Source organism: Homo sapiens, chromosome 4, assembly GCF_000001405.40.
Source record: "Homo sapiens chromosome 4, GRCh38.p14 Primary Assembly".
NCBI lineage: Eukaryota > Metazoa > Chordata > Mammalia > Primates > Hominidae > Homo > Homo sapiens.
Genome location: NC_000004.12, coordinates 38,020,258 through 38,047,762, shown reverse-complemented (window position 1 = coordinate 38,047,762; position 27,505 = coordinate 38,020,258). Strand labels below are relative to the sequence as shown.

The window sequence follows — 27,505 nt, the reverse complement described above, 5'->3', positions numbered from 1 at the left end:
TTTCCCTGGTTCCACTGACCAAACCTAACTTCCCTTCCCCTTGCTCTTCTGACACTGAAGTTACCAATGTCTCTTATTTGTAACTTCTGGGCTCCTACCACACTCTGCTTGATGCTGGGGCTGTTTCTGTATCTGTCATCTCTCTCCTCCTAGGTAACTTCCTACATGAAAGGGGCGGTGTGTGGTTCATCTGTACACAACAAATAAGCAAATAGCCTTCCCACACTTGCAATGAATTGCAGGGTGGGATCAGTGTGTATTAGATGGAGGCTGGACGACACTATGTTCCCCTGGATTTTAACTCAGAAACTCACATTTACAAGACTGCTGTCTAGGACCTCACTCCCCAGAGGCGGTCTGCAGACCAGGAGCAGCAGCATTGCCTTGGAGCTTGTCAGAAATGCAGCATTTCAGGGCTCCCCCCACCCTGCCTACTGAACCAGAATCTGCACTTTAACCAGTCTCAGCTACTCAGGAGGCTGAGGCAAGAGAATGGCCTGAACCCGGGAGGCGGAGCACCTGAAATTTGAGAAGCACTCATCCATCTAAGGAAGTGTTTCTCAAACTGCTCCCTCTATCATGTTAGTAGGTGGTACAACTGAGTAGTTTGCCATGAGCATTTTAAAAATAAAATAGAACAAAATATCAGTATGTATTGTATGTTGTTCACAGTAAATATTGTTTTGTGAACTTTTAATTTTGTGTGTGAATGTGTAGGTATGTGTGTTTGTGAACTACGCCACAATGTTAAATGTGCTTCTTACTGTAGGTTAGAAAAATTCTGAAAGCCATATGTCTAGGAGGGATGGCAGAGGACTGTAAACCCTGCCTGTGGTAAGGAGCTGGCCTCCACAAACACTCCCTCCCTCACTACTGCCAAAGAGAGTCCTCTGGTAGCAGAAGGGAAAGCTGGCCTCCCTAGCACAAAACCCAAACCCACTTTTCAGGAGTTATAAAGTTGAACTGACCAGGCTTAAATATGATTAAATGTCTAGAAAGCAAGTTATTAAAAGAAGGACATAGATACTTGCTTATTTAAATAAAACAGTAATGTTTCATTATAATCATAGAGCCAGCTACAGGATAAAGTTTCAGAAATTTAATTTCCCCACAAGTGGGGGAGAATGAAAGGGGGTGTGAAGGTTGAAAAATTACCTACTGGGTACAATGTTCACTATTTGGGTGATGGGTACACTAGAAGCCCAATCCCCACCAGTATGCAATATACCCATGTAATAAACATGCACATGTACCCCCAAATCCAAAATAAAATTTTCTTAAAAAAAGAAAAATTTAAGCTGTATACTTCTCTAAATTCACAAATCCACTTTCTGATGTTTTCCCAATATTAATTATTTTTTTAATAGGAAAATCTACTGCTTTTTTTTTTTTACACAGAGTCTCTCTCTGTCACACAGGCTGGAGTGCAGTGGCGTGATCTTGGCTCACTGCAAGCTCCGCCTCCCAGGTTCATGCCATTCTCCTGCCTCAGCCTCCCGAGTAGCTGGGACTACGGGTGCCCGCCACCACGCCCGGCTAATTTTTAATTTTTTGTATTTTTAGTAGAGACGGGGTTTCACTGTGCTAGCCAGGAGCGTCTCGATCTCCTGACCTCATGATCCGCCCGCGTCCGCCTCTCAAAGTGCTGAGATTACAGGCGTTGAGCCACTGCACCCAGCCCCATCTGCTCTTTTATGTAAAACTTTTATGTTATGATAGAACTGCATGACCAGTCCTCCACCTGTGCCAAGAAATTTGCAAGCAGCAAACGTTTTATGATTGGAGGTATGTAGACAGGAGATGAGCAAGACCTATTTGTTGGTTTCTTCAGGGTGTCGTATAAAGAGAAATGTGCTTACTTTGCTGGTGTTACTTAATGTACTAGACAGGGAGCTATCCAGATCCACACTGATGGAGTGTTCCTGCAGGCCTCTGGCTTTATTACCCTACATAAAGAAAAGGCAGTCGAGTTATGACTCTGGAGGCTTTTGCAAAGGCATCAGCTAGAAGCAGATTGGTCCATTTAAATAAGCTCAGGAAAAAAATGTTATCTACTGAGAAATGCTACTAAGGATATTTGTACATTAAAATAATCAACATTTCCATCATTTTTTTAAAAAATAAATAAGACACTAACCTAAACGTTCCAAAACACCTGGTGGCTAAGTAATTTGGCATGAGTGATAGGCAGGAAGACAAGACAATTCGTCTATAAGGAAAATCAAGTGCTCAAGCCCACTCAGCAACTAACTCCCTCCCCTGGGTCACAAGTCATCATAACGGCCAGCCGCATGTCACTCGGACAGCACTCTATCCCTTTGGGAGCTCTCAAATGCAGCCCCTCCCAACTCTGGTTTTGTAAATCAACTGTTTTTCATGATCTCAGAAGATATTGCAAAATTCTCAGAAACATCTTCGAAGAAAATAAAATTTAACTTTCCTTAATTAAAAAATAAAATAAAATCAGATGTTTCAAAAGAAGTGTGCCATAAAATCAAAAAGAACTATAATAAGATACTGCACACTCCAGAAAGGTGTGAAACTCTGAGGGAAAATCAGATTTGATTTCTCAGACGTGCCATCAGGCTATTTACACTCATGGGAGGGAGGGATAATTTCTTAAAGAACTCCCAGATTGATGTACATGTGTACTTTGTTCTTTCTATAGAGCTATATTTGGCAAACTTTTTCTGTAAAGGGCCAGATAGTAAGTGTCTTATGCTTTGTGAGGCATATAGTGTTTGTGGCAACTGCTGAAGTCTGCAAAAAAGAAGCCTTAGATAACTGGAAAATGAATGGATGTGGCGGTGTTTCAACAAAACTTTATTTACAAAAATAGGAGGTGGGTAGAATTTGGCCCATGGGCATAGTTTGCTGACCCCTACTATATAGCCTTTTAGATAGCTAACACCAGCAGCTGACAGTAACTGTTTTTTAAGTTATACATAGTGATAGTAGGGAGAACAGAAGCCACACTTCAGTGTATCTAATGCATGCTCTTTATAGGGACTGGCTAACAAATATTCTTTGGAGCGGCAAAAAAATCCCATTGGATATAATACAAAAGAGTAAGGAATATTTTTTTTAAACCTAGGCCAAATTAAAAACAATTTAAAATGTAGATAATACTGTTATAAGCCTGAGAAAACATAAAAAAAGGTTTTATACTTTTACCTTTATGATGAACATTGATGGAATAAAAGCATAGAACTCAATCTTACACTCTCCTAAAAAGTGATTTAACTTAAATCAGGAGAAATTATGCTACTTACCCGGGACAAAATACTTTCTAAAGACTCTGTTAAAGATCTCTTTGCTTTGTTTTTCAGCATATCTAGCCTAAATCGAGTGGCACTGGGTGGTAATTCACTTCCAATATTCTCTGCTGCCATCTGCGATGTCTAAAAAAGTGAAAAACGAAAAGTCATTTATCGCTCCCTTCTCTGCTTCTTAAAGGAATGAAAAATCTCTAGGACACATCTTTTTGGCACCAGGCCATCATTCTGATCCTGTCTGTGATCTCACCTCATCTGCTCCTTAGTGACATGGCTGCAAGTCCAGGAAATAATTTTGCCTCAGAGAGTTGCTTTGATTACCCCAAGTAAAATGACGAAATGTGCTTTGAAACCAATCAGTTGAAGTAGTTTATTGCTCAGACTCTGCAACTGGATCAGAGATCTGTCTTCACTAACCGTGGTCTTCGGCCAGTTTCTTACTTTTCTGAGCCTCAAACTTCCTCTTCAGTAAAGTGAGACCAATGGCAAGATCGAATCATAACACTGTGTTGTGAGACTCAAACAGGTAAAGTGTGTAAAACATTGAACACAGCGTGGTAGAAAGGTAGCTATCATTAGCTTTTCAAAATAAAACAATAACTTACCTTTGGGGGCATTTCAGAAGGTGAGACAACATAAATTTCTCAATTAAAGAACCTATTCTCTCTGCCTATACAATTCCTTCATCCCTTTCTACAGATCTCTTGCTTTCTTGCGTTTTCCTCTCTCCTACTTTTATTTTCCCATCATCCTTTCATTCTTCTCTGCAACCAAGCTTCTCTCCCTTAACTACTAGCCATAAAAACTGAAAATAAAAATACAATGGAGTTTGCTTGACAACCACTAAATGAAGTCTTAGTGTTACTTATTTACAAGGAGGTACTTTTTTTTTTTTTTGAGACAGGGTGCCAGGGTCTCACTTTGTTGCCCAGGCTGGAGTACAGGGCCACAATCATGGCTCACTGCAGTCTTGACCTCCCAGGTTCAAGCAATCCTTCTCCCTCGGCCCCCAGAGTAGCTGGGACTACACACAGCTAATTTTTTGTAGTTTTTGTAGAGACGGGGTTTCACCATGTTGGCCAGGCTGATCTCAAACTCCTGAGCTCAAGTGATCTACCTGCCTCAGCCTCCCAAAGTGCTGGGATTACAGGAGTGAGCTACCACACCCAGCCGAAGGTACATTTTTTTTTTAATATGCAACAAAAATCTCTGAATTAAATTGTTTCTTATGTGGATTCTCACCTGATTGCTTTCTGTTAGAAAATAATTTCGTTAGAAAAAAAAACGGCCAGGCGCAGTGGCTCATGCCTGTAATCTCAGCACTTTGGGAGGCCAAGGTGGGTGGACCACCTGAGGTCGGGAGTTTGAGATCAGCCTGGCCAACACGGGGAAACCCTGTCTCTACTAAAAATACAAAAAACAGCCGGGTGTAGTGGCGCACACCTGTAATCCCAGTTACTCAGGAGGCTGAGGCAGGAGAATCGCTTGAACTCAGAAGCCGGAGGTTGCAGTGAGCCAAGATCATGCTACTGCACTCCAGCCTGGGCGACAGAGCGAGACTCCATCTCAAAAATACAAACACACACAAGCAAATCCCCCATTACTCTAAATACTGATATATTCTTTGTTGCAGTTATTTCAAGCACACAGAAAAGTGTAGAGACTAATATAACAAATACCTTTGTATCACCACCTGGCTTTGTTCAAGTGAGCATTTGCCAGGGGTTGAGAACAGTGAGAAGCCCAGCTCTGGAGTGCAATGCCCAGGTGAAATGTTCCTCTGCTATTCCCTGGCTCTGTGGTCTTGGCCAGACTGTTACCTCCTGTCCCTTTCAGGTCCTCTACCTGCAGCCTGAAGACGTATAGTGAACTTTCCTCGCAGAGCTGTCATGAGGCTTAAATGAATGAATACAAATTAAAACACATATACCAAGGCCAGGTGCAGTGGCTGATGCCTGTAATCCCAGAACTTTGGGAGGCTGAGGCAGATGAATCACTTGAGGTCAGGAGTTCGAGACCAGCCTGGCCAACATGGTGAAACCCTGTCTCTATTAAAAATATAAAAATTAGCCAGGTGTGGTGGTGCACGCCTGTAATCCCAGCTACTTGGGAGGCTGAGGCAGGAGAATCGCTCGAACCCAGGAGGCAGAGATTGCAGTGAGCTGACATCGCACCACCGCACTCCAGCTTGGGTGACAGCGTGAGACTTGTCTCAAAAAATAAAAATAAAAAATGTAAACCAGACAATCAAAAAACATCAGATATCATGACTATTACCTACTCTATGAGCTTTTTTTGTTTGCTTGTTTTTTGGGATGGAGTCTCACTCTGTCACCCAGGCTGGAGTGCAGTGGTACGATCTTGGCTTACTGCAACCTCTACCTCCTGGGCTCAAGTGATTCTCATGCCTCAGCCTCCCGAGTAGCTGGGACTACAAGTGTGCGCCACCACATCTGGCTAATTTTTGTATTTTTTTTGTAGAGATGGGGTTTCGCCATGTTGACCAGGCTGTTCTCGAACTCCTGGCCTTAAATGATCCACCTGCCTTGGCCTCCCAAAGTGCTGGGATTACAGGCGTGAGCCACTGTGCCCAGCCTACTTTCTACTTTTAATGGGAACCACTGCAGACATCTTTGAAGCTTAATCACCACTACTTCCCCACACCTGGCCATATGCAGAAATATTTGGTGTTTATCCTATCAATTCATGTTTTCTGCTTTTATATGTATGTGTCCATAAAAGATATGTAGTTGAAACTAAATGAATGGTGTCATACTGTACACATCCTTCTGTAAATTAGCTTTCTTCTTTCAATATTATTTTTGAGATTTATTCCTGTTGACAAATTTTTTTTGATTCACTCACTTTAGTCAGAGTGCAAATATTCACTGCATAACCTAATTTATCTATGTTCCTATTGTTAAACACTTATTTGCTTTTTTTTCTTGCTCTTACAAAGGAGGCTGCAGTGACCTCTCTTATATAGAGCTCCTTATAGACTCATGTGAAATGTTTGGCAAGGGAAATAATGAGGAATGTCCTCACTGGGTCACAGGGACTGTGCCCCTTCAGACTACACCAGATATTATCAAGTTTCTCTTCCCTGAATGGTACAAATTCATGTTCCCAGTATCAGTATAGGAAAGTTCACCTTTATACGGTATTGTCACTTTTTAAAAATTTCTGCCAATCTAATGGGCATAAAATGTTCCTTGAATATGTCCTCCCCTCATTCTACTGCTGTTAGGTATTATTTTATTCAGTCATCTGCTGTTCGAAGACCTTATGTCTTCTTTGAATAATGAAATCCTAATTCACTAATGAATGCTACACATTTTTCAAAGCATAAAAGAGAAAGAATGGATTCTCATAAAAGCGACATTCAGCTTTGTCCAATTATCCATAATTGGACTCTCTATGAGAATGAGAATATGCATCAAAAGAATGGCTACTACCTTAGAAATTCCTTTGAGAAGGGGAACTATCATTTACCTTTGTGTTTCACACTATAGAGCGTACCCTGGACATGTAATATTGGCTTGTTCAAAATGAGTGAATGAGCAATGATCCCCAGGCAGGTCCACGGGAAATACACGCCTAAGGTAACAGACTCACTCAGCAAATAGTGACCAAGTGCCTGCTAAATGCTACGCGCCACAGGGAGGTGCACAGAATCTGTTGCAACCGGTTCTGTGCAATCACTGACCAAGTGTAAGTGCCTGTCCAGGCTCGAGGCAGCCTCCAGAGTGAAGGGAATTGCCCACAAAGGGCTCCCAGGGGCCTGCCTTCAACTCAACACCAGTTACAATGTTAAGAAAATGCAGAATTGCTTTCAAACTCATAATAAAGCTTTCATAAAAGTGAAGCAAGCTGAATTGTTTTGATATATAAAGAAAATATGAGCCAGGCGCAGTGGCTCACGCCTGTAATCCCAGCACTTTAGGAGGCCAAGGCAGGCGGATCACGAGGACAAGAGACGGAGAACATCCCATCCAACACAGTGAAACCCCGTCTCTACTAAATATACAAAAATTAGCTGGGCGTGGTGGCGCACGCCTATAGTCCCAGCTACTCAGGAGGCTGAGGCAGGAGAATCGCTTGAACCCGGGAGGCGGAGGTTGCAGTGAGCCAAGATTGTGCCGCTGCACTCTAGCCTGGCGACAGAGCGAGACTCTGTCTCCAACAAAAAAGAAAGAAAGAAAGAAAGAAAATATTAGCTAAAAGACTAAAGCAAGCAGCATCAGTTAGTAGATCCTAAGAGACAGAAGTGCATTTGTATGCATGTGTTTTTAAAGCAGGTCTGAAGAATCTCTGTGTACTTAATTCAATGTTTCTTCTGCTCTCCCCTACTATCAAAAAAGAGTCTTTTCCACGTCTATTGCCATAATTAAAATAAAATGTTTAAAAAATTGCATTTAAAAAATAATTCACATTTAGAAATGACTTGTTTCTTATTTATCTTAAAACAAGTATCTAGAAGTTTCTCCTTGGAAGATGACACTGGTTCTTAGACAATAATTTCTTTAAAAAAAAAAAACAGAGATGGGGGTCTCGCTATATTGACCAAGCTGGTCTCAAACTCCTGGCCTCAAACAATCCTCCCATCTCAGCCTCCCAAAGTGCTAGGATTACAGGCGTGAGCCACCGTGCCTGGCCCTCACAGACAATAATTTCTAATTTGGAGGCTCCACAGTGAATTCTATTGCAGTCATTATATTGCACATCCTTCAACAGATGGGGTAAACTCTAAGCATGAAAGTTTGGATTCAAGTATTCAAGCTTTAAATCCTGATGCTATACTGAAATTCTCAGTTCAGAACTCACCATCCCAGGCTGGCACAATGTATCTACCAGCAGCCTTATTCATAATCAAGCAGCTCAGAAGGAGAATGGAGAAAGAAACTCTTGACATTAATACCACAGAACAAAAAGGAACAAACTACTGATACAAGCAACTGATACATGCAACAACAAACTACTAATACATGCAACAATGTAGCATAACGTTTCTGATGAGTCTCAGAAACGTTATGCTAAGTGGAAGGAGCCAGAACTCAAAGAGTATGATGCCGGCCAGGCGCGGTGGCTCACACCTGTAATCCCAGCACTTTGGAAGGCCGAGGTGGGCAGATCACAAGGTCAGGAGATCGAGACCATCACGGCTAACACGGTGAAACCCCGTCTCTACTAAAAATATAAACAATTAGCTGGGAGTGGTGGCAGGCACCTGTAGTCCCAGCTACTCAGGAGGCTGAGGCAGGAGAATGGCGTGAACTTGGGAGGCGGGGCTTGCAGTGAGCCAAGATAGCGCCACTGCACTCCAGCCTGGGTGACAGAGTGAGACTCTGTCTCAAAAAAAAAAAAAAAAAAAAAAAAAAAAAAAGAGTATGATGCCATTTATAAGAAATTCCAGAACAGGCAAAACTAATCTAAGGTGAAAAAAATCAAAACAGTGGTTACCTGGGGGAAGGGGTAGTGAGGACTGACTAGAAGACGAATATAGGGCTACTTTCTGGTAGGATGAAATTTTTTTTTTTTTCCCGAGAGGGAGTCTCTCTCTGTCGCCCAGGCTGGAGTGCAGTGGTGCGACCTCGGCTCACTGCAACCTCCGCTTCCCGGGTTCATGCCATTCTCCTGCCTCAGCCTCCCTAGTAGCTGGGACTACAGGCACCCGCCACCACACCTGACTAATTTTTGTATTTTTAGTGGAGACGAGCTTTCACTGTGTTAGCCAGGATGGTCTCAATCTCCTGACCTCATGATCCGCCCACCTCAGCCTCCCAAAGTACTGGGATTACAGGCGTGAGCCACTGCGCCCGGCAGGATGAAAATATTCTATATCTTGATAGGGGTTTGAGCTACCTGAATGTAGCAGCAGTGGTCAAAACTCAACAAATGGTACACTTAAGATTTGCATAACCTACCATATGTAAATTTAATCTCCCCAAAATTGGAAGCAAACACTAAATTCTAGTTAATGATATACATGCTAAAGTGTTTAGGGATGAAGGGTACTGATATCACCTAATTTGAAAGGCATGCAAAAATAAGGTGGACTAATAGATAAATATATGATAAAGCAAATTAACAAAGTCTTTAAAACTGTAAAATCTGGATGGTGGGTATATGAGTGCTCATGGTATAATTCTTTCAACTTTTCTATATGTTTGAAATTTTTCATAATAAAATGTCACAAAAAAAGAAAGAAAATCTTATCTACTAGAAAACAGACCCAAGAAAATCAGTAAGTAGTTATATAGCATTAAATTTTGTTAAGCTCCTTAAAAAAACACACAATAATTAAGATAAAGTACTTAGACATCAGACAAAGTGGCTCCACTACTCACTAGTAACTGCTTGACTGCTCTTCCCCATTTCCTCATCTATAAAATGGGTATTTTACCACCTACCTCAAAAAACTTGTAGAATGAATGGAGTCATTTATGTAAGGAATGAGAACTCTATCTGGCACTTGGCAAACATTCAGTAAGTGGCAGCTGATTTCATACTAATTTTTGTACCACCTCTGTGAATACAGGTGGAAACGACAAGTCCATTGACTAAAACGTGACAGCCTCTAACTTAATGTATAAGTCTTGCCCAAACTGAACCCTGTTCTATAAGATCAAAAGACTCATTCAGGGTTTTTTCTATTTCACAACTCCTCTGACAGTTCTCCAGCACTATTCTTTTGGTCTTTGAAAAGCGCATATGGCCTCCCTGCCGACCCTGACACGCACAGCACTGAGAGAAGCGCTCACTGTCCTCTGTCCGCTTCTGAAGTCCTGTGGCCAGAGAAGTTCTTTGTCAAAGCCATGATCCTACCACGGTCTATGTCACATCTTCCCACATTTTCAAAAGCTTTAGAAATTTTTAGGTGCAACAAGAAGGTAATGAAATCCACGTGGCTAAACTGATAGCAGAAAACATGAAAAGGATCTATCAGTGAATCTCAAGGCTGTGCCTAATGGGTCTATAAAGCAGCTGCTGCTCTGAAAAACCCACTCCTCAGAGCCCATGAGAGTGTCCAGCCTGGAGTACACCAACCTCATCAGGGGATTAGGGCAGCTTCTTTATAGACGAAGACATGAGCCGTCTGGTTCATGATGTTTAGAAACCCCTAGTAAAAGTGTTACACAGATGCCAGTTCTGCTTGTAAGGCTCAGTCACTTCTACATTGAACTCTTATGTTTTTTTGGGTAAAAAAAAAACATTAAACACATTTCTCCATTGGATGATCTATGCCCAAATCATAAAAATATTATGCTGGTCCATAAAAATGAGTCTGCAGTTAGGTCAAAACTTTCCATTCACCATAAATGCTCAAAATGTTTAGTAAAAGAAGACTTTCCATCCACCGTAAATGCTTCATTCCCCTTTCTAGCAGTTATAAATTACTTCAAAATTATCAATTTCCTGTTGGAACAAGTCAGACTGACTCAGATAAAAGAAAATCAGAACAGGGAAAAAGCTATCAGTGGCACAAGAGGGGAAAAAGGGAGTGGAAAAGAGAAAAGAAATAGGCTGAAAAATGAACTCCAGAATTAACTGAAAACTTAGACCAACTGGTCCATCCAAAAATGAACAGGAGAGACACAGAACTTGAATGCTATCTTAAGGGTACAGGTTGGGAAGGGAGGAATGGCTACAAACCAAGACCACAAGTCAAAACCCCAAAAAACACAGGTCATATACTCATGTTAGAGTCACTGCTAAAGGACCTCATGGCTGGCCAATGAGATTAGAAACCGTGGCTGACACTGTACACCAGCCCAAGTGTTCAGGGAAGGCACGTGACTGCCAAAGCCACCTAGAAGGTAGAAACCTTATGTGGAGATTTGCTAAGTGTACACCCCATGAAAACTGCACACTTGGTTTAGGGTCCAGACGCAAAGGCTGCCGTAGGACAGGGCACACCACTGAGCACACAAGTGTCTTTGGAACACGTACGTGGGGAGTGTTCAAAAAGAAAAAGGGAACATACTTTTGGGAAACTGAGAAACTTGTACATCCTTCACTGATTTTTCTCTAGATTTCTGGCCAACAGGTAACTTTAGCAAATATAAAATGTGTATGTTTTGAAGCTATTAATGGTTCATTATGAATGGACTCACATGGAGTCCAAAAGACAAAGGAAATGGTCTGTGGTACCATGTAACATAGGGACTCCCAAACCTGAAGATCTTCCAAGGGAGAGATCTGCAGAGAGCCCCAGCTTCTGCCTTGAGACCCCACAAAGAGAAAAGCTAAATAAGGCTGTAGACAGTGGAGGAGGGGAGGGAGACTCTGTATTTCCACCATGCAAAATGGAATTAATCCAAGTTCTAACCTGAATAGCACATAAGTCAGGCTTGCCAACATTGTATCTGATTTGTGACCTAGCATTTATATCACAAAGGACGTTCAGGTACTTTTTGTAATTCCAAAGGCAGCCATGCAATGTCCTTCCAGGTTTACAAAGAAGAAAGGCGAGGTGACAAACCAGCTCCCTGCAAGCCAAGCAGCTCATCTTGGTGGCATCCACTCTTACACTCAATTCTTGCTGCTCTAAGCCAGTCCTCTTATTAGAGCAACTGTTCTGCCTCCACTATGGTGCAGGCAGAAACTTTTCTTATCTTCTCAAGCATACATAGTCTAACACTCCCAAATTTCCCCTCTATGTGCAACAAAGGAAAATAAAACATAGGGAGAAAAAAAGGTATCAGAGTTTCAGAAAATCCTCAAAACGTTGTTTATACAGAGACTTGGCAGAGACTTGGCAACAATTACAAGAGACAAAAATGCCATACCTGCTTCATCTCCCCAATATGGATGTGTTCTTTCTGTTTCTCTTCATATAAACATCTCAGAAAAGAAATAATCAATTCATTCTCTCGCTGCTCATTTCTCGGTCTCAATTTCTTTAAAACAAAAATCAGAAACAGGATTTATTTTTAATCGTCAACAATATTGCTAAGCCGTCTTTTTAAATGCTAACAGCTTCCATCCACTAAACTAGTGCTTTTACTCAATCATCTCACCAGGGGGCACCAATGATCCTAAAAGTAGAGAGAATTTTTAAAAAGGAACAGTGGAGCCAGTGGGCCAGATTTAGCTTTTCATCTCTGATGTCCTCCCATCTAAAAATGAATCTTTAATATCAGATAGAGACACAGTCAAAATGTTTAACAAATAAATAGTTTTTAAAACAAGAGGAAAAACACAAAATCCATATAAATACCCAAAGGTCAGGGGCCATGATGACCAAACATTGACAAACTCTTAGGGAACGGGCAAGGAAAACAGCAACGGGATTCAGTGTCATAATTTCCTATGTCGAATGTGTTCACCGTGAAGCACTCTGTGGAATCCCCATGGGGCACCCCCTTCCATACAAAACTTCATGGCATGTACATTTCTTTCTTCTTTCTTTAAAAAAAAAATTCTCTCTATGCCTTTTAACTTTTAGACAGGGTCGTGGCACAGCACACTGGACCAGAAGTCAGGACATGTAGGTTCCGGCTGCTGCCGAGAAGTGTGAAGCCAAGCCCCTTAATTCTAGCTTCCCTGTCTGCTGAAGTGAGGATGGTGCACAGAGGAAACTCTATGGTCTCCTCCTGCTCCCAAATGCTTTGGATTTGAAATGCCAGAGTGAATTTTTTTAAAGTCCACCTAATTTAATGTATGATTTTATCATATATGAAGAAAGTAAAATGAATTGTTTTGGGATACACAAAGTTTTTAGTCTATAAATTTTGAAAATACATCTTTTTTTATGTTGACAAGTATCCATTGCCTGTTCCTCCCCTCTCCCTACTCCAAATTTCCAGACTGTTCTTTAAAACAAATTCAGTGACATAAATGGATCAACTACACAAGGATCTGAATCTGGGTCAACACCACTCTTGGTCACTTCTTCCCCAGCTAACTAAGGAAGCAACTTTACCCTGCACATAATAAGCATTCAAAGCAAAGGTAACACTAACCCAGACTTTCTGACAGTCCTTTCTTAAAGAAACCCAGTCCTTTCTTAACGAAAAAGATTAAAGGTAAGTTGTTCTTGTTACTTAAGGAAAGGATAGTTAATGATTAGAAGGGTTTGTTTTCATTGAGGCCTTCCTGTTCTTTCAAATTTCGGACTGAAATATTAAATATTTTGGAGGCTACAGCAGACACTCTCAACCTGGACTCCAGGCTGTGAACCCCAATATTACAAAATTTTACAAGTTATATGCAAAAAGTGGATTTCTCTGGAGAAAGTGGGCATTAGATTCTCAAAAAGGAAAGTGGCAGTAATGCCACAATCCCAACTTAACACTGCTAGATCAAAGGGTTATGGGTACACTGAGCCCAAATGTCCACAAAACAACAAGAACTCCCATTTATGGTTGGCGGGGATGCAAAACAGTACAGCCACTTTGGAAAACAGGCCAGCAGTTTCTTGTAAAACTAAACACATTCTTACCACATAACCCAGCAATTGCACTCCTTGGTGTTTACCCAAATGAGCTGAAAACAGCATCTTTATTCACAATTATCAAAACTTGGAAGCAACTAAGATGTGCATCGATCGGCAAATGGGTAAAGAAACTGTAGTGCATCTATAAAACTGAGTATTATTCAGCAATGAGAAATAAGCTATCAAGCCATAAAGAGACATGGAAGAACCTTAAGTGCATATTGCTAAGCAAAAGAAGCCAGTCTGAAAAGGCTACTGTGTGATTCCAACTACATGACATGCTGGAAAAGGCAAAACTATGGAGAGAGCAAAAAGATCAAGGATTAGGGAGGAGGTGGGAGAACAGGCAGAACACGGGGATTTTTAGGGCAGTGAAACTATTCTGTATGATACCGTAATGATGGGCACATGACATTAAGCATCTGTCACAACCCACAGAATACAGAACACCAACAGTGAACCCAAATGTAAACCATGAACTTTAGTTAATATCAATGTACAAATATTGGCTCATCAATTATAATGAAGAAACCCTCAGTAATGCAAGATATGTTAAAAATCGGAGAAACTGTGGGGTGGGGGACAGTGAAAGCTAATACGGGAACTCTGTACTTTTCACCCAATTTTCCTGTAAACCTAAAACTGCTCTAAAAAAAATTAAGTCTATTAAAAAAAAAATGATCCAGGGAAACAGACAGGAATTATGAGGCCTCTGAGCAGGTACAGGCGCCTGATGGTTGGCCCACTCTTTCTTCTCCTGTGTCTTTAATTAAACCTTCTGGCTATCTCCACAAGAAAATGTATATTGTGCTTGGAGAAATTCTTCATCATCATCTATTTCAAAATATTTTAAAGGGCTAATCATATAGTAAGAGGAGGAGTATTAATATATTTTTCCCCTCAAAATACACTTTTAAAAGAAGGAAATTAGACCAACTGGGAACAGTATACTACCACAGTTGTTTTTCATTAAAAACTGATTAAGAATCAGAGACTGCGTCATGGAGCTTGTTAAACATCATACAGAAGTCACTAAAGCAGAGAAATAAACGTCGATGGTGTTATACACAATCAAGAAACAAATCTTTCCTTAATGTAATTCTGAAATACAATTAGTGAGGTGTCACCTCCCTAAAATCTCCCATGCAACTTCACCATCCTCGATAGTAGCAAATCATTAATTCTTTCTTTCTTTTTTTTTTTTTTTTTGAGATGGAGTCTTGCTCTTTCACCCAGGCTGGAGCTGGAGTGCAGTGGCACAATCTGGGCTCACTGCAAGCTCCACCTCCCAGGTTCACGCCATTCTCCTGCCTCAGCCTCCCAAATAGTTGGGACTACAGGCACCCGCCATCACACCCAGCTAATTTTTTTGTATTTTTAGTAGAGACAGGGTTTCACCGTGTTAGCCAGGATGGTCTTGATCTCCTGACCTCGTGATCCACCCACCTCTGCCTCCCAAAGTGCTGGGATTACAGGCGTGAGCCACTGCTCTGGGCCAAATCATTATTTCTTAAAGGTGATTTAACTTTATGAACATTCATTAGTCAGAGAGATAAGTCTTAGGAAAATAATGGGGAATCGAATTGGGTAACATCACTGTGCCATCAAAAATTACTTGCTTGTTCAAAATTAAACTATGATGTCAGAAGTCAGGATGATGGTTACCTGGAGGCAGACACAAAACAGGACTATGAGGCAATGGAAATGCCCCATTTCTTTCTTTTTTTGGGGGAGACAGCATCTCGCTCTATCCCCCAGGCTGGAGTGCAGTGGCACAATCCTGGCTCACTGCAACCTCTGCTTCCCAAGTTCAAGCGATTCTCATGCCTTAGCCTCCCGAGTAGCTGAGACTACAGGTGCGCACCACCATGCCTGGCTAATTTTTGTATTTGCCATAGAGACAGGGTTTCGCCATGTTGGCCAGGCTAGTCTTGAACTCCTGACCTCGGGTGATCCGCCCGCCTTGGCCTCCCAAAGTGCTGGAATTACAGGCATGAGCCACCGCGCCTGGCCAGAAATGCTCCATTTCTTAATCTTGGCACTGGCTGCACAGTTGTATATACCTTATAAAAATTCACTGAATTATACATCATTGATTTGTTTGCTTTTCTATATGCATGTCATACTTCAATTTATAAAAGAATATTACAAAATAATTAATCGCCTGTTAAAAGTAACAAAACTAAATTAGTTACATGTTTCTTAACCTATAAGAGGCTTATAAATTGTCATAAACGCAATTCAGATATAAACTGCCAGCTGGGCAAGGTGGCATGTACCTGCAGTCCCAGCTACTTGGGAAGCTGAGGTAGGACGATTGCTTGAGCCCATGAGTTCGCAACTGAAATGTGCTCTGATCACACCCTAGAATAACCACTGTGCTCCAGCCTGGGTAACAGAGTGAGCCCCTTTCTCTTAAAAAAAATTAATAAATAAATAAATCAATTTCCAACACTGATTGATGCATCCCAGAATGTTGAGAAAGCCCATGGTCTCCTAAGGGAACTACTTAAAAAGACAACACTCACTTGGACACTACAGTCTAACATCTTAAAACTCACTTGGACACTACAGTCTAACATCTTAAAACTTAAAGTTTTCAGTCTAACATCTTAAAACTACAGTCTAACATCATTTTAAAACCATGCAAAATCCAACTAAGCTGATATATATTCTTCAGAAAGTAAAAAGAGTCTCTTCTGACCATTAACCTTTAACTTGTGAAGTCATGTTACTTAATGAATTATCAATGTCTACTGAGTATAAATCTACTTGATTTATCTAGTCAGTATTTAATTAAGTCATTCCCTGAAACACACTCATATAGATTAGGAGAATTAGACTTGGAGATATTTTATTTACTAGCTCCACATTGGCTTCACAGCAATTCTTATCCTGAGATGATCAGTTTGGATTTAGTATATTCACCCAGTAACAGAGCATCATGGGGTCATCCTAACACATGCCCAGCTAGATATGTTTGAAAATGAAACATTTCAAAAACGCTCATAAATAAAAATATGGCTTTGCAGTGTGGTATGCCCACATGCCCATCTGGCATTAAGTTCTCAGAGTGCTCAAAATTAGCTTGTTTACAGTAGAGATAACCTCCAGCATCGTTTACACAGTTATTAGTGATTTCTTTATAGCTGTTAGAGTTCCATTTTTTGATTTAATATTCATTTACATGATCCTTAAATAAGGTATGTTTTAATAACTAAGTAATCACGTACCATTAATTTCAACGGTAATTACATTTCCCTTATGAAAATTTGCATGTAGAGGACTTTTTCCGAAACAAATTCCCCTCCAGGAAAGACTGAACAAAGGAAAATATTTACCATTCTATTTTATAAGGAGACTCAGGAAACTGCAAAGCCACCTTTTTCCTTACAACCTTTTTGAAATGTATGATTTTCAAGCACATTAGCTGGCACTGCTGTCTAAAATGAAACCAATGACTTGGTTTATAAAATGTTTTATAAAACCAAGAATGGTCATTGAGGACATAATTCAACAAGACCATCTAACAAGCCTCTAGAATAAAAGATCCATGCACAAATCTGTATCACTCAAGGAACAGCCACACTCACAGTGATGGAAGACAAGGCGAGAGCCGGCTTTTCAAAGTTGGTGAATACAACCTCCCTTTGGTGTCTGGAGCAGCTTAACAATTACAGAGACCTCTAGAACAACACACAGGATATTAACTGAAAGCTCTTTTTCTAAAGCAAACCTTAGTCGTAATCTACTCTGTTCTAAAGTGTCTTTACCATGATGTACTCAGTGTCTAAAAGCCTGCATGAGTCAAAGAGAATCTTGGAATCATATCCATTAGGAACATCTCATTGCTGCGGAAGAATATTTTGTGTATTACCTATACTGATTCATCACACTGTTTTAGGGAGAGCTACGTGGTGCTGTCTAGACAAAAAAGAAAACCCACATTATGAGAGGGAAGTTCCTCTTCTATTCTTGATAGAAAGATGGTTTCTTAAAGTGACAGGACAGCTCTAGAACAGTAAGTGGGCCAGCATTAGATGAAAAAGGCCCCAACTTGAATTGTAAATGCATTAACAATCAGAAGCATATTGTCCATTTTTGAATTCCAAATGCAAATCACAGTATATTTTCTAAGAGTATTGTGTACTTAGAACTCTAAAGATCTTTTAAGAAAAAACAAAGTAGCATGTCTCAAGTTGATTCAGAAGAAAACAAGAAAATGCAAAGACAAATGAAAATTGTGAAAATTACCCTCTAGGCTATTTGAGACATGAAAAAACATCTTTCTATGCTCTCTTCCTGAAGCATATGCCAATTCTACTGTAGAAGGAGAACAAGGGAATAAGACAAGACCTCTAACGTGATTAAAATGAGAAAGACGGCCAGGCGTGGTGGCTCACAGCTGTAATCCCAGCACTTTGGGAGGCTGAAGCAGGCAAATCACAAGGTCAAGAGTTAGAGACCAGCCTGGCCAATATGGTGAAACCCCGTCTCTACTGAAAATACAAAACTTAGCAGTGTGGTGGTGGCAGGCGGCTGAAATCTCAGCTACTTGGGAGGCTGAGGCAGGAGAATTGCTTGAACCCGGGAAGCAGAGGTTGCAGTGAGCCAAGATCGCACCATTGCACTTCGGCTCTGGGCAACAGAGCGAGACTCTGTCTCAAAAAAACAACAAAGAGAGAGAGAGACAATCCTTTCATTTTTTTTACACTAACAGAAAGCAGATCGTGGATCCTAGTATAGTCTTTTCCCAGTGAGGAAGGAAAAGCACTTAAACCCACCCAGTTGCTAGCTGTCTTGTTTTGTTTAATGGCTCCTCTATTTGTAGATCCTGCTGCCCGCCCCTCAAAAGGAGATATTTATTCTTTGATATGCTTCCCTCCCTAAAAAAGTGCCAGGGAATCATCGAAAATGCCCCTCAGCTAAAGCAGACATGAAATTTTGGATGACCTCATTAAAGATTCATAATGAACAGGCTACAGGCATGCCAGCACACACAGCATGGTCTCCCCGAGATACACTGCATCTAAATGCAAGGGCAAGAGCTAGCTTCCAAGTTTATTGCAGAAAGCTGATGAGCTTGAATTTTGTTTTGTTTTTGTAGGTTTGATATATTATCAGGTTCCAAGTAGACAGCATGACCTAAATTTATTTTCAAAAATGAAAAAAAAAGGTGTTGGGGGAAAGAAGGAATTCTGTTCAAGTTCATGTACCAAACATTGTCTCATTCGACTCCCACACTTAGGTCTGAAATCCTAAGCGGGAAGGGGCGGGCAGAGGTTTCCCAGGGAACAGATGAGTACATGCGGACCAGAGGCCGGACCTTCTGTCTCCCAGCCTGAGGCGCTTTCCATTTTATAATTTCTTCTCTCTTATTCTAACATTTGTTTAAGGAAGAGGCTTGCCTGTTTCATTTAGTTTTACTATCTAAGCTAAGGCCTGATGGGAATCTGCAATTCTGACCTGGACACTCTATGAGACTGTGAAAGCTTAAGCCAAGCATGTCCAACATGTGGCCCAGGGCGGCTCTGAATGTAGCCCAACACAAATTCATAAACTTTCTTAAAGCATTATGAGATTTTGGGCTGGGCGTGGTGGCTCACGCCTGTAATCCCAGCACTTTGGGAGGCCAAGGCAGGCAGATCATGAGGTCAGGAGTTCGAGAACAGCCTGACCAACATGGTGAAAGCCTGTCTCTACTAAAAATACAAAAATTAGCCAGGCGTGGTGGCGTGCTCCTGTAATCCCAGCTACTCAGGAAGCTGAGGCAGAAGAATCACTTGAACCTGGGAGGCGGAGACTGCAGGGAGCCCAGATCATGCCACTGCACTCCAGCCTGGGAAACAGAGCAAGACTCTGTCAAAAAAACAAACAAACAAAAACCATTATGAGATTTTTTTTTTTGCTGTTTTTTTTGTTTGTTTGTTTGTTTGTTTTTTTAGCAGCTCATCAGCTATCGTGTCTTTTATGTGTGGTCCAGGACAATCCTTCTTCTTCCAATGTGGCCCAGGGAAGCCAAAAGATTGGTCACCCCTGAAACCAAGACGAACTCAAGGCACCTTCCCCCAGGTTGGGACAACACTGGTTTGCTATTTTTTACACATAGCATTTCCCAGGTAAGCTGCCTGCCTTTTCTTTCCTTCTAGAAATTAGCAACTGTACTGTACCTGAACCTCTTCAAAAATAGTCGCCTGCTCCTGATTGGTTAATGTCGTCAGGTGCTTTTGCAGTTCTAGTTTTGTTTTGGAAGAATTCATTCCTATTAAGAGAAAAAAGAGAGGCATGAAAAAATTCTATATAAAAGTTGTGAGATAGGGAGTTAACCTCTTCCACACACATCCCCTTCACATTCTCTTCCACTTCAGACTTCCAAGGTTTTAGGAAATAAAAAAATATTTTATTTTTTTTTTTGACATGGAATCCCACTCTGTCACCCAGGCTGGATTGCAGTGGTGCAATCACGGCTCACTGATTATGCGAGCCTCAACCTCCCAGGGTCAAGCAATCCTCCCACTTCAGCCTCCCCAGTACCTGGGACTACAGGTGCATGCCACCATGCCCAGCTAATTTTTGTATTTTTAGTCTACTAAAAGACAAGGTTTCGCCATGTTGCCCAGGCTGGTCTCGAACTCTTGAGCTCAAGCAACACGCCCACCTCAGCCTCCTAAAGTGCTGGGATTACAGGCGTGAGCCACTGTGCTTGGCGTGGAAATTTTCATCGATAATAGTGTCACTGTTATCTTTGTCATCATCTTCTGAGCTCTGATGTGCTAGACACTGTATAATAGGCATTAAGCTTGCACCATTTAATTCTCAAAACAATCTGATGAAGAGGATGCTATTATCCCCAGTTTACAGCTAAGAAAACTAAGACCCAGAGAGCTTACGTCATTCCACAGACCAATAATTTGGACTCTACCTCAGGTTTGTGTGGCTCCAAATTACTTTCTCCATGTTAAAACACCTCACGTAATCAGAACCTTCTCCTCAGAAAATGATAAATTCTTGTGTTGATATGTAAACCTGACAACTTTTTCTTAGGAAAAAACAACTCCTATTCTGTTGGAAAACTGACCCACATTTCTCTTGCATACCAGGTTCCCATCACGGAAAATTGATGCATGTGGCTAACAATTTTTCTTATACCACCACATGCTTATTAATAACTTCATTAACATTACATTTAATTAATGTTACAAAGAGTTTTGAGGAAAAGTTATAAAAATAAAGTCATTACATAATTTTAGTACCCATTAGAACCCGATATTTCAAGAAGTTCCTTCCCCACACAAATACGGCTTAGAGCCTGCACTGCCTTTTCTTGGTATCCAGAGATAAATGTCACACATGATGAGACGGTTGATAATGAAAGGATATGCTGACCCAACTGCCATGAAAAGAAAAAAAAAGCATGGGTTATTTTTCTTCCAAGGGCAGCTCTTGCCTCACCCACCTGGCACTCTCTTCTCATCCTACCAGGGTGGCCCTGAGGCAGAGGCTTGGCCAAGGCTCTGGGCTGGAGAACAGTGTGCGAGGCACCTACATCACTACGGATGGCAGGGAGGGAAATCTGCTGAGCCAGGGACTTGGAAACCATGCCTTCATTTTACAGATGGATTTGCTGATGCCCAGAGAAGCCAGGTGACTTGTGAAAGGCCAGGAGGCCCATCGGCAGCCACGCCTGCCCAAAGCCACGGCTCCTCCCCTCCCACAGCAGCTGAGGCAGAGCCCACAACCTCTAAGTAGGCTGGGACTGTGGCAGAGGTGGCTGCTCCTATCACACTGTTGCAGCCATCTCTGCTTCCAGAAAGACATTCTTTTTCCCTTTTTTTTAACCCAGGAAAACCCTGAAGCCACCACAGAAATAATATTTAAGTGACTGCTACTATGCCACTTCACTTAACACTTTATGTGCATTATTCATTTCACCCTAAAATGAATATTAGAAATGGGCCTTTTTTTTTTTAAGTAATCTCAATGCCCACCTGAAGAAACTGAGGCACATCGAAGTATTTTGTCCAAGGTCATCAGCTAAGTAAGTTGCCTCCGGCAACCAAACCCTTAACTGCTCCACTGCCCTCCCTGACTAGCAGAGCCAAGTCGCCTGACACTCAGGTGGCTGCAATACAAGAGCAAGCTTAGAGGTGGGTTAAAGTGCAGGAAGGATGGCGCCTTTGTCAAAGTGCAATGCAGTCACTCTTTCAGCAAGCTGTCAGGTCACATGAAGCCAGGGAAACAGACAAGGCTTTACTGTATCAACTACTTAAATGCCGAAGCGAAACAGAGTTAAGATTTATGAATCAAATAAGCACTAAGTCATCATGCACTAAAAATCCCCCCCACATATGAAGGACATCTCTGACAGCCGAAGTATCATATTTTGGAAAAACGATATTGTTTCATGAAACATTCAGATGTGGAGAATAAACCCCAAGGCTTAAGAAGAGTTAGACTAACTCGACACTCTGCCAATCTCAGGTGAAATCACGAAATGCAGCTTATTCTTCGCTTCGGCAGCTGTGAAGCAATCCTCTGGGCAATTTCACCCTGTCTGCAGGATGCCTAATTCATGAGGTCCTTCTGGTCCCATCTCTAAATAGCCGGCCCGCCTAGGTCCGAGTTCCTCCCCCAGGGATTCTCACACAGCTAGCCCCTCCTGGGTGGTTTCTGTACACCCACTGAAAGCACCCTTCAGTTCCCCACTGAACGCATCTCCTCAGAGAGGCCCAGGTGATGCCAAAATGGCTTATGGAGGGAATGGGAAGCCAGGACCGAAGCAGAAAAGGTAACCAGCATCAAGAGAGTTTCCAAACTACAACCCCTCCTGGCTCCTCTGGTCAGTGAGGCCGCCTCCCTGGCGGTGCAGAAACGGCCCTTGTTAGAGAGAGCGGTGATGAATGACTGTGTTTTACTGAAGGAAAATTTGCTCTGAGAGCAAAAGAAAATCTCAGTTCAACTATTTTTTTTAATGAATGCTCCTCTTTTAAAATAAGCAAAATACTATATAAATACCACTGAGTTGTATATGATTCAAATACAGAACTGGGTAGAGCTGCACTTCTGATATGTTGCAATTAGAGCAGAGTGCAGCTAATCAACATCAACAGCGTTATTGATTCTATCTTATAGATTCTGGGGGATGACTTAACTACACTTACTGATTAAGAAAACATAGTCTTTTAAGTCTTTCTTTGTGTGGCCACATCACTAATCCTCTCCACAGTTTTACAGAGTTCTTGATCAGACCATATAACTTCCTGCTAGAACTACTTTTACACCAACATACAATGAGTTTTAACAAGCCACTTTATTCTACTTATTAGGAATACAATAACAAAAAGCAAGGAACCCTAAAACTGTTTATGTAATAACTAGCACTTCTTCTACTAACAATGCACTTCTTCTACACTTTTAGAAATGAGTTCCATCATGTAGGTAAAACATACCCCCACCAGACTTCTAATTGCACTATTTAAGAATGTTCTCATGTTAGTAGAGTTTTGTGCCTTGGTTGGATTTTATCAGGTGATAGATGGATCAAATGATTAATTCCAAAACGACGGCAGCAAAATCCCTACCCTGATCAAACTTTTCAGCTGTAACTTTCTCAAAACTAAGCCAGACCAAAGAAAGATTTATCAAGGGGAGCTCTGGAAGCATTCCAGTTCCTGCAGATCGTGCTCTGCTTTATCTTCAAGGCCAAAGTCACTGCTGGCTTTTTAATAAGCTCTTAAGGGGCATTTCTATCATCATTTACCTTATCTTGACAACCATTAAGGAAAGGGTTAGTGATCCTCTCAGTTGGGAACTCTAGTTAAAGCAAACATTTTCTTGTTCCCAGATATATTTTGTATAATGTCAGCAAATAGTAACAACGTGGAAAACACAGTTGAATATATTAATCATGTTTCTTCATTTTAAAGAGCACTGTAATGCTACAAATGACCCTTCCCAGACCTTAAGATGTCAATTGTTAATTTATCTCATTTAAAAAGGGAAACCAGATACCATTTCACATCTATCTCGATGGCTTTCATCAAAAACAAAACAAAACAAAAACAGAAAGTAGCAAATCTTGCGAGGACGTAAAGGAACTGGGGTCCTTACCCACTGCCAGTGGGATTGTAAAATGGTGTGGCCACTGTGGTACCATACGGCAGTTCCTCAAAAAAATTAAACATAAAATTACCACATACCCTAGCAATTTCATTTCTGGATATATAACCGAAAGAATTGAAAGCAGGAACTTCAACAGATATTTGCACGTCAGCATTCATAGCAGCATTATTAGTACAACAGTCAAAAGGGGGAAGGAACCCAAATGTCCACGGACGAGTAAATGGATCAACAAAATGTGGACACACTTTTGGAATGGAATACCATTCAGCCTTAAAAAGGAATGAAATTCAGACAACGCTACAATACACGTGAATCTGGAAAACATTATGCTAAGTGAAATAAACCAGAAACAAGAAGATAAATATTTTATGACTTTGCTTATATGAAGTTACCTAGAAACAGAACAGATGTTGCCAGAGGCTGAGAAGGAGCGGAGTTGGCATTTAATGAGCTTCAGTTTTGGAAAATGAAAAAGTTCTGGAGATGCTGGTGGTGAGGACTGTACAACAATGTGAATGGACTTAATGCCAATGAAGGGCATGCTTACAAAAAGGTTACGATGGTAAATTTTGTGTTACATATGTTTTTACTATATTTTTTTAAAAAGGAAAATTGGATCTAAATAACAATGCTTTCTTTGCAAACTTATAGCTTATAATAAATATTCCTTTTTTTTTTTTTTTTGAGACATCTCGCTCTGTTGCCCAGGCTGGAGCACAGCGGCACAATCTCGGCTCACTGCAACCTCCATCTCCCGGGCTCAAATGATTCTCCTGCCTCAGCCTCCCAAGTAGCTGGAATTACAGGCACACACCACCACACCCAGCTAATTTTTGTATTTAGTAGAAACGTATTTGAGATGTATTTGTATTTCGTAGAGACAGGGTTTCACCATGTTGCCCAGGCTGGTCTCGAACTCTTGGCCTGAAGTGATCTGCCCACCTCAGCCTCCCCAAGCGCTGGAATTACAGGTGTATAATAAACATTCTACAAACATGAGAAATGATCAAATTTTTGTTTTCTTTTCACAATAGCATGGGTTGTTTAAATCATGTGACCTCCACAAGTCACAAAAAAATTTTTAGAAATCCTCCCATAAACAGAACAAAAACACAAAATCAAGAACAGAGTGGTGAAAACTCCTTCACCTTCCAGATGCCTTCAGATAAACATATCACCACTCCCTTTCACTGTCACCTGGTTCTGTCCTCTCCCCTGGCCCCTCCCTGCAGTCACAGAGACAGAAACTCTCACTTCCTGCCTCAGGTGGACTCCCCACTCTTGTTCAAGAGGAACCCCCACCATTCCATTCGGATTCATTCGGCCCCTCTGGCCCCTTGGGCTCTGAATTCACTCAAACCCTCCAATTCTGAAAAAGACAAAGTTAGCTGCAATCCCCAGGTCTTTCTCCAGTATGGCCTTCTCCTGGAAATGGTTGGTGGCAGGTAACAGGGCTTTACCGCCTGGGGTGAATCATGGGCTCACTATACACTAGTTTATTCCTAGACATCTCTAATCCTCAATTTACTTATCTGCAATATGTGCAAAATAAATAGTCCCTTTTCCTCCCACAAATGTGATGAGGATTAAATAGATAACAGAAAGCACCTAATACACTTCCTGGCAGATCTTATTCAATACACGTTAGCTACAAATCATAACATTTATTACAGTTTCTCCCTAAGCCAGGTTTCTAGAAATACTGGTCAATACTAATAGTCACCGTTTCTTTGATTTCTTCCCATTTGCTCCTCAACTGCAACCTGTTTTCTGCTACCTCCTCTCCATCCAAACTGTACTAGCAGACGTTACTAATGACCTTGTAATGGAGAAACTGGTACAAGTTCCTTAGTTCTTATCTTTCTAGATATCTCTGCAGTGCCCAGTATGACTGACCACTCACACAACCTTGATAAACACTAGGCAACCGGTTTGGTAACCTGTTTCCCTAACTCCTCCTCCATCCTCAGAATACCTTGGAGGGAGGTGGCAGAAGGGGGTTCTGGGTTCTTATCTTTGTATCACCAGCATCCGGCACAATTCCTGACATACAGAAGACACCCACTGCACACTGAGAGTCCACCTACAATCCCTGTGACTAATACAAGCCTCTGTTAGGCAGAATCTTCCAACAGATGAGTATCATCTAAAGTTCTCCTGGGACCTTTAACTCCCACTGTGTTCATGCTGGAAAGGGTCCCCTACTCACCCTCTATCCTCTCACAGAGCTTGTGCAGGCTTTGCAGGGGGCAGCCCTCACACAGCTGGGCTGGCGCCTTAGCTGTCTGCTGCACTGCGGCCACCGTGAAGGCCTGTTTCAGGGTCATCATAATTTCATCAACCTAATCAAAGAGAAGAGAAGTTGTAGTCACCAAAAAGTCAATTTGAAATTAGCTGGGCTGAGATGTCAGAAAATCTTTGGAAAAGATTTTTTAAGCTTTAAGAGTTTTCTGTACTACTCTTCACAGGTTGACAGATAATAATTGGAATAACAGCTAGGATTACAGTCTGAAAATACTACAAGTATGCTCAAAGCTCTTAAAGCAGGTAAGGTAAATGATATGGTTTGGCTGTGTCCCCACCCAAATCTCATCTTGAATTGTAGCTCCCATAATTCCCATATGTCATGGGAGGGACCCAGTGGGAGGTAATTGAATCATGGGAGTGGGTCTTTCCTGTGCTGTTCTATGATAGTGAATAAATCTCACGAGATCTGATGGTTTTATAAAGGGCAGTTCCCCTGCACACGCTGCCCTGCCTGCTGCCATGTAAGATGTGCCTTTGCTCCTCCTTCACCTTCCGCCATGATTGTGAGGCCTCGCTGGCCATGTGGAACTATGAGTCCATTAAACCTCTTTCCTTTATAAATTACCCAGTGTCAGGTATGTCTTTATTAGCAGTGTGAGAACAGACTGATACAGTAAAAACTAAAAATACAAACTACTGAGAAAAAAGGCAAACTCCTTTGATCAGATGTCTAAAATGACATTGTAAAATGCTAGACCAGAAGGTGACACTAAACAAGTTCTTCAGAAATAAAAAATATAAAATGCACAGCCAATTAAGCTTCAGATGTGTATTAGCTGCTTACTAAATAGTCATAAGTAAATAACTAAAGACAAATAATGATATGTCAATGACCATCTGGTTTTCCCTAAGGACAGAAAAATCAGTGGAGCTAAAATTCCTTGTAAAGAAGGTTCCAAGGTAAGAATTGCTTGTCCTCTCTCACCAGAGCCTCATTTGTGCACTGAAACACGTAACAGACAAAATGAAAGCCGCCACCTCCGGAAGACTCCCGACAGATAAACCCAAAGTGGTCCACGTGTCTGATGCCCTGCCAAAGGGAGAGAACGAGATGTTCAGTTGTATCCAGAAGACGCACCATCCTCAGAAATGCACCTCAAGATTTATACAGCACAATTTATTTTACTTTTTATTATCTTTTTGAGATGGAATTTTACTCTTGTTGCCCAGGCTGGAGTACAATGGCACAATCTCAGCTCACTGCAACCTCTGTCTCCAGGGTTCAAGTGATTCTCGTGCCTCAGCCTCCTGAGTAGCTGGGATTACAGGCATGCACCACCACACCCGGCTAATTTTTGTATTTTTAGTAGATATGGTGTTTCACCATGTTGGTCTCGAACTCCTGACCTCAGGTAATCCACTC

The 27,505-nt window shown here is 41.4% G+C and overlaps 1 protein-coding gene across 27 annotated transcripts in view, besides 1 other annotated feature; it reads right to left on the bottom strand.

Annotated features, from left to right (window-relative positions):
- Positions 1–27,505, bottom strand: part of TBC1D1 (TBC1 domain family member 1) — a 248,090-nt gene that overhangs the window by 91,411 nt on the left and 129,174 nt on the right. For all 27 annotated transcript variants that reach the window (XM_011513659.3, XM_011513660.4, XM_011513662.4 and 24 more), the window contains 6 exons: positions 27,068–27,172; positions 26,045–26,177; positions 19,884–19,975; positions 12,065–12,175; positions 3,273–3,401; positions 1,860–1,946 (listed from right to left, as the gene is read on the bottom strand). In XM_011513659.3, coding sequence (XP_011511961.1) covers positions 1,860–1,946; positions 3,273–3,401; positions 12,065–12,175; positions 19,884–19,975; positions 26,045–26,177; positions 27,068–27,172 — 657 coding nt within the window. The remainder of the gene's footprint in view (positions 1–1,859; positions 1,947–3,272; positions 3,402–12,064; positions 12,176–19,883; positions 19,976–26,044; positions 26,178–27,067; positions 27,173–27,505) is intronic.
- Positions 26,202–27,401: an enhancer, noted in NCBI's record as "BRD4-independent group 4 enhancer chr4:38021983-38023182 (GRCh37/hg19 assembly coordinates)". NCBI's record gives its function as "activates an origin of replication core promoter dependent on BRD2, P300/CBP, MED14 and CDK7 cofactors, and independent of BRD4, by STARR-seq in HCT116 cells {active_cell/tissue: HCT116}" and the evidence as "EXISTENCE:reporter gene assay evidence [ECO:0000049][PMID:35650434]".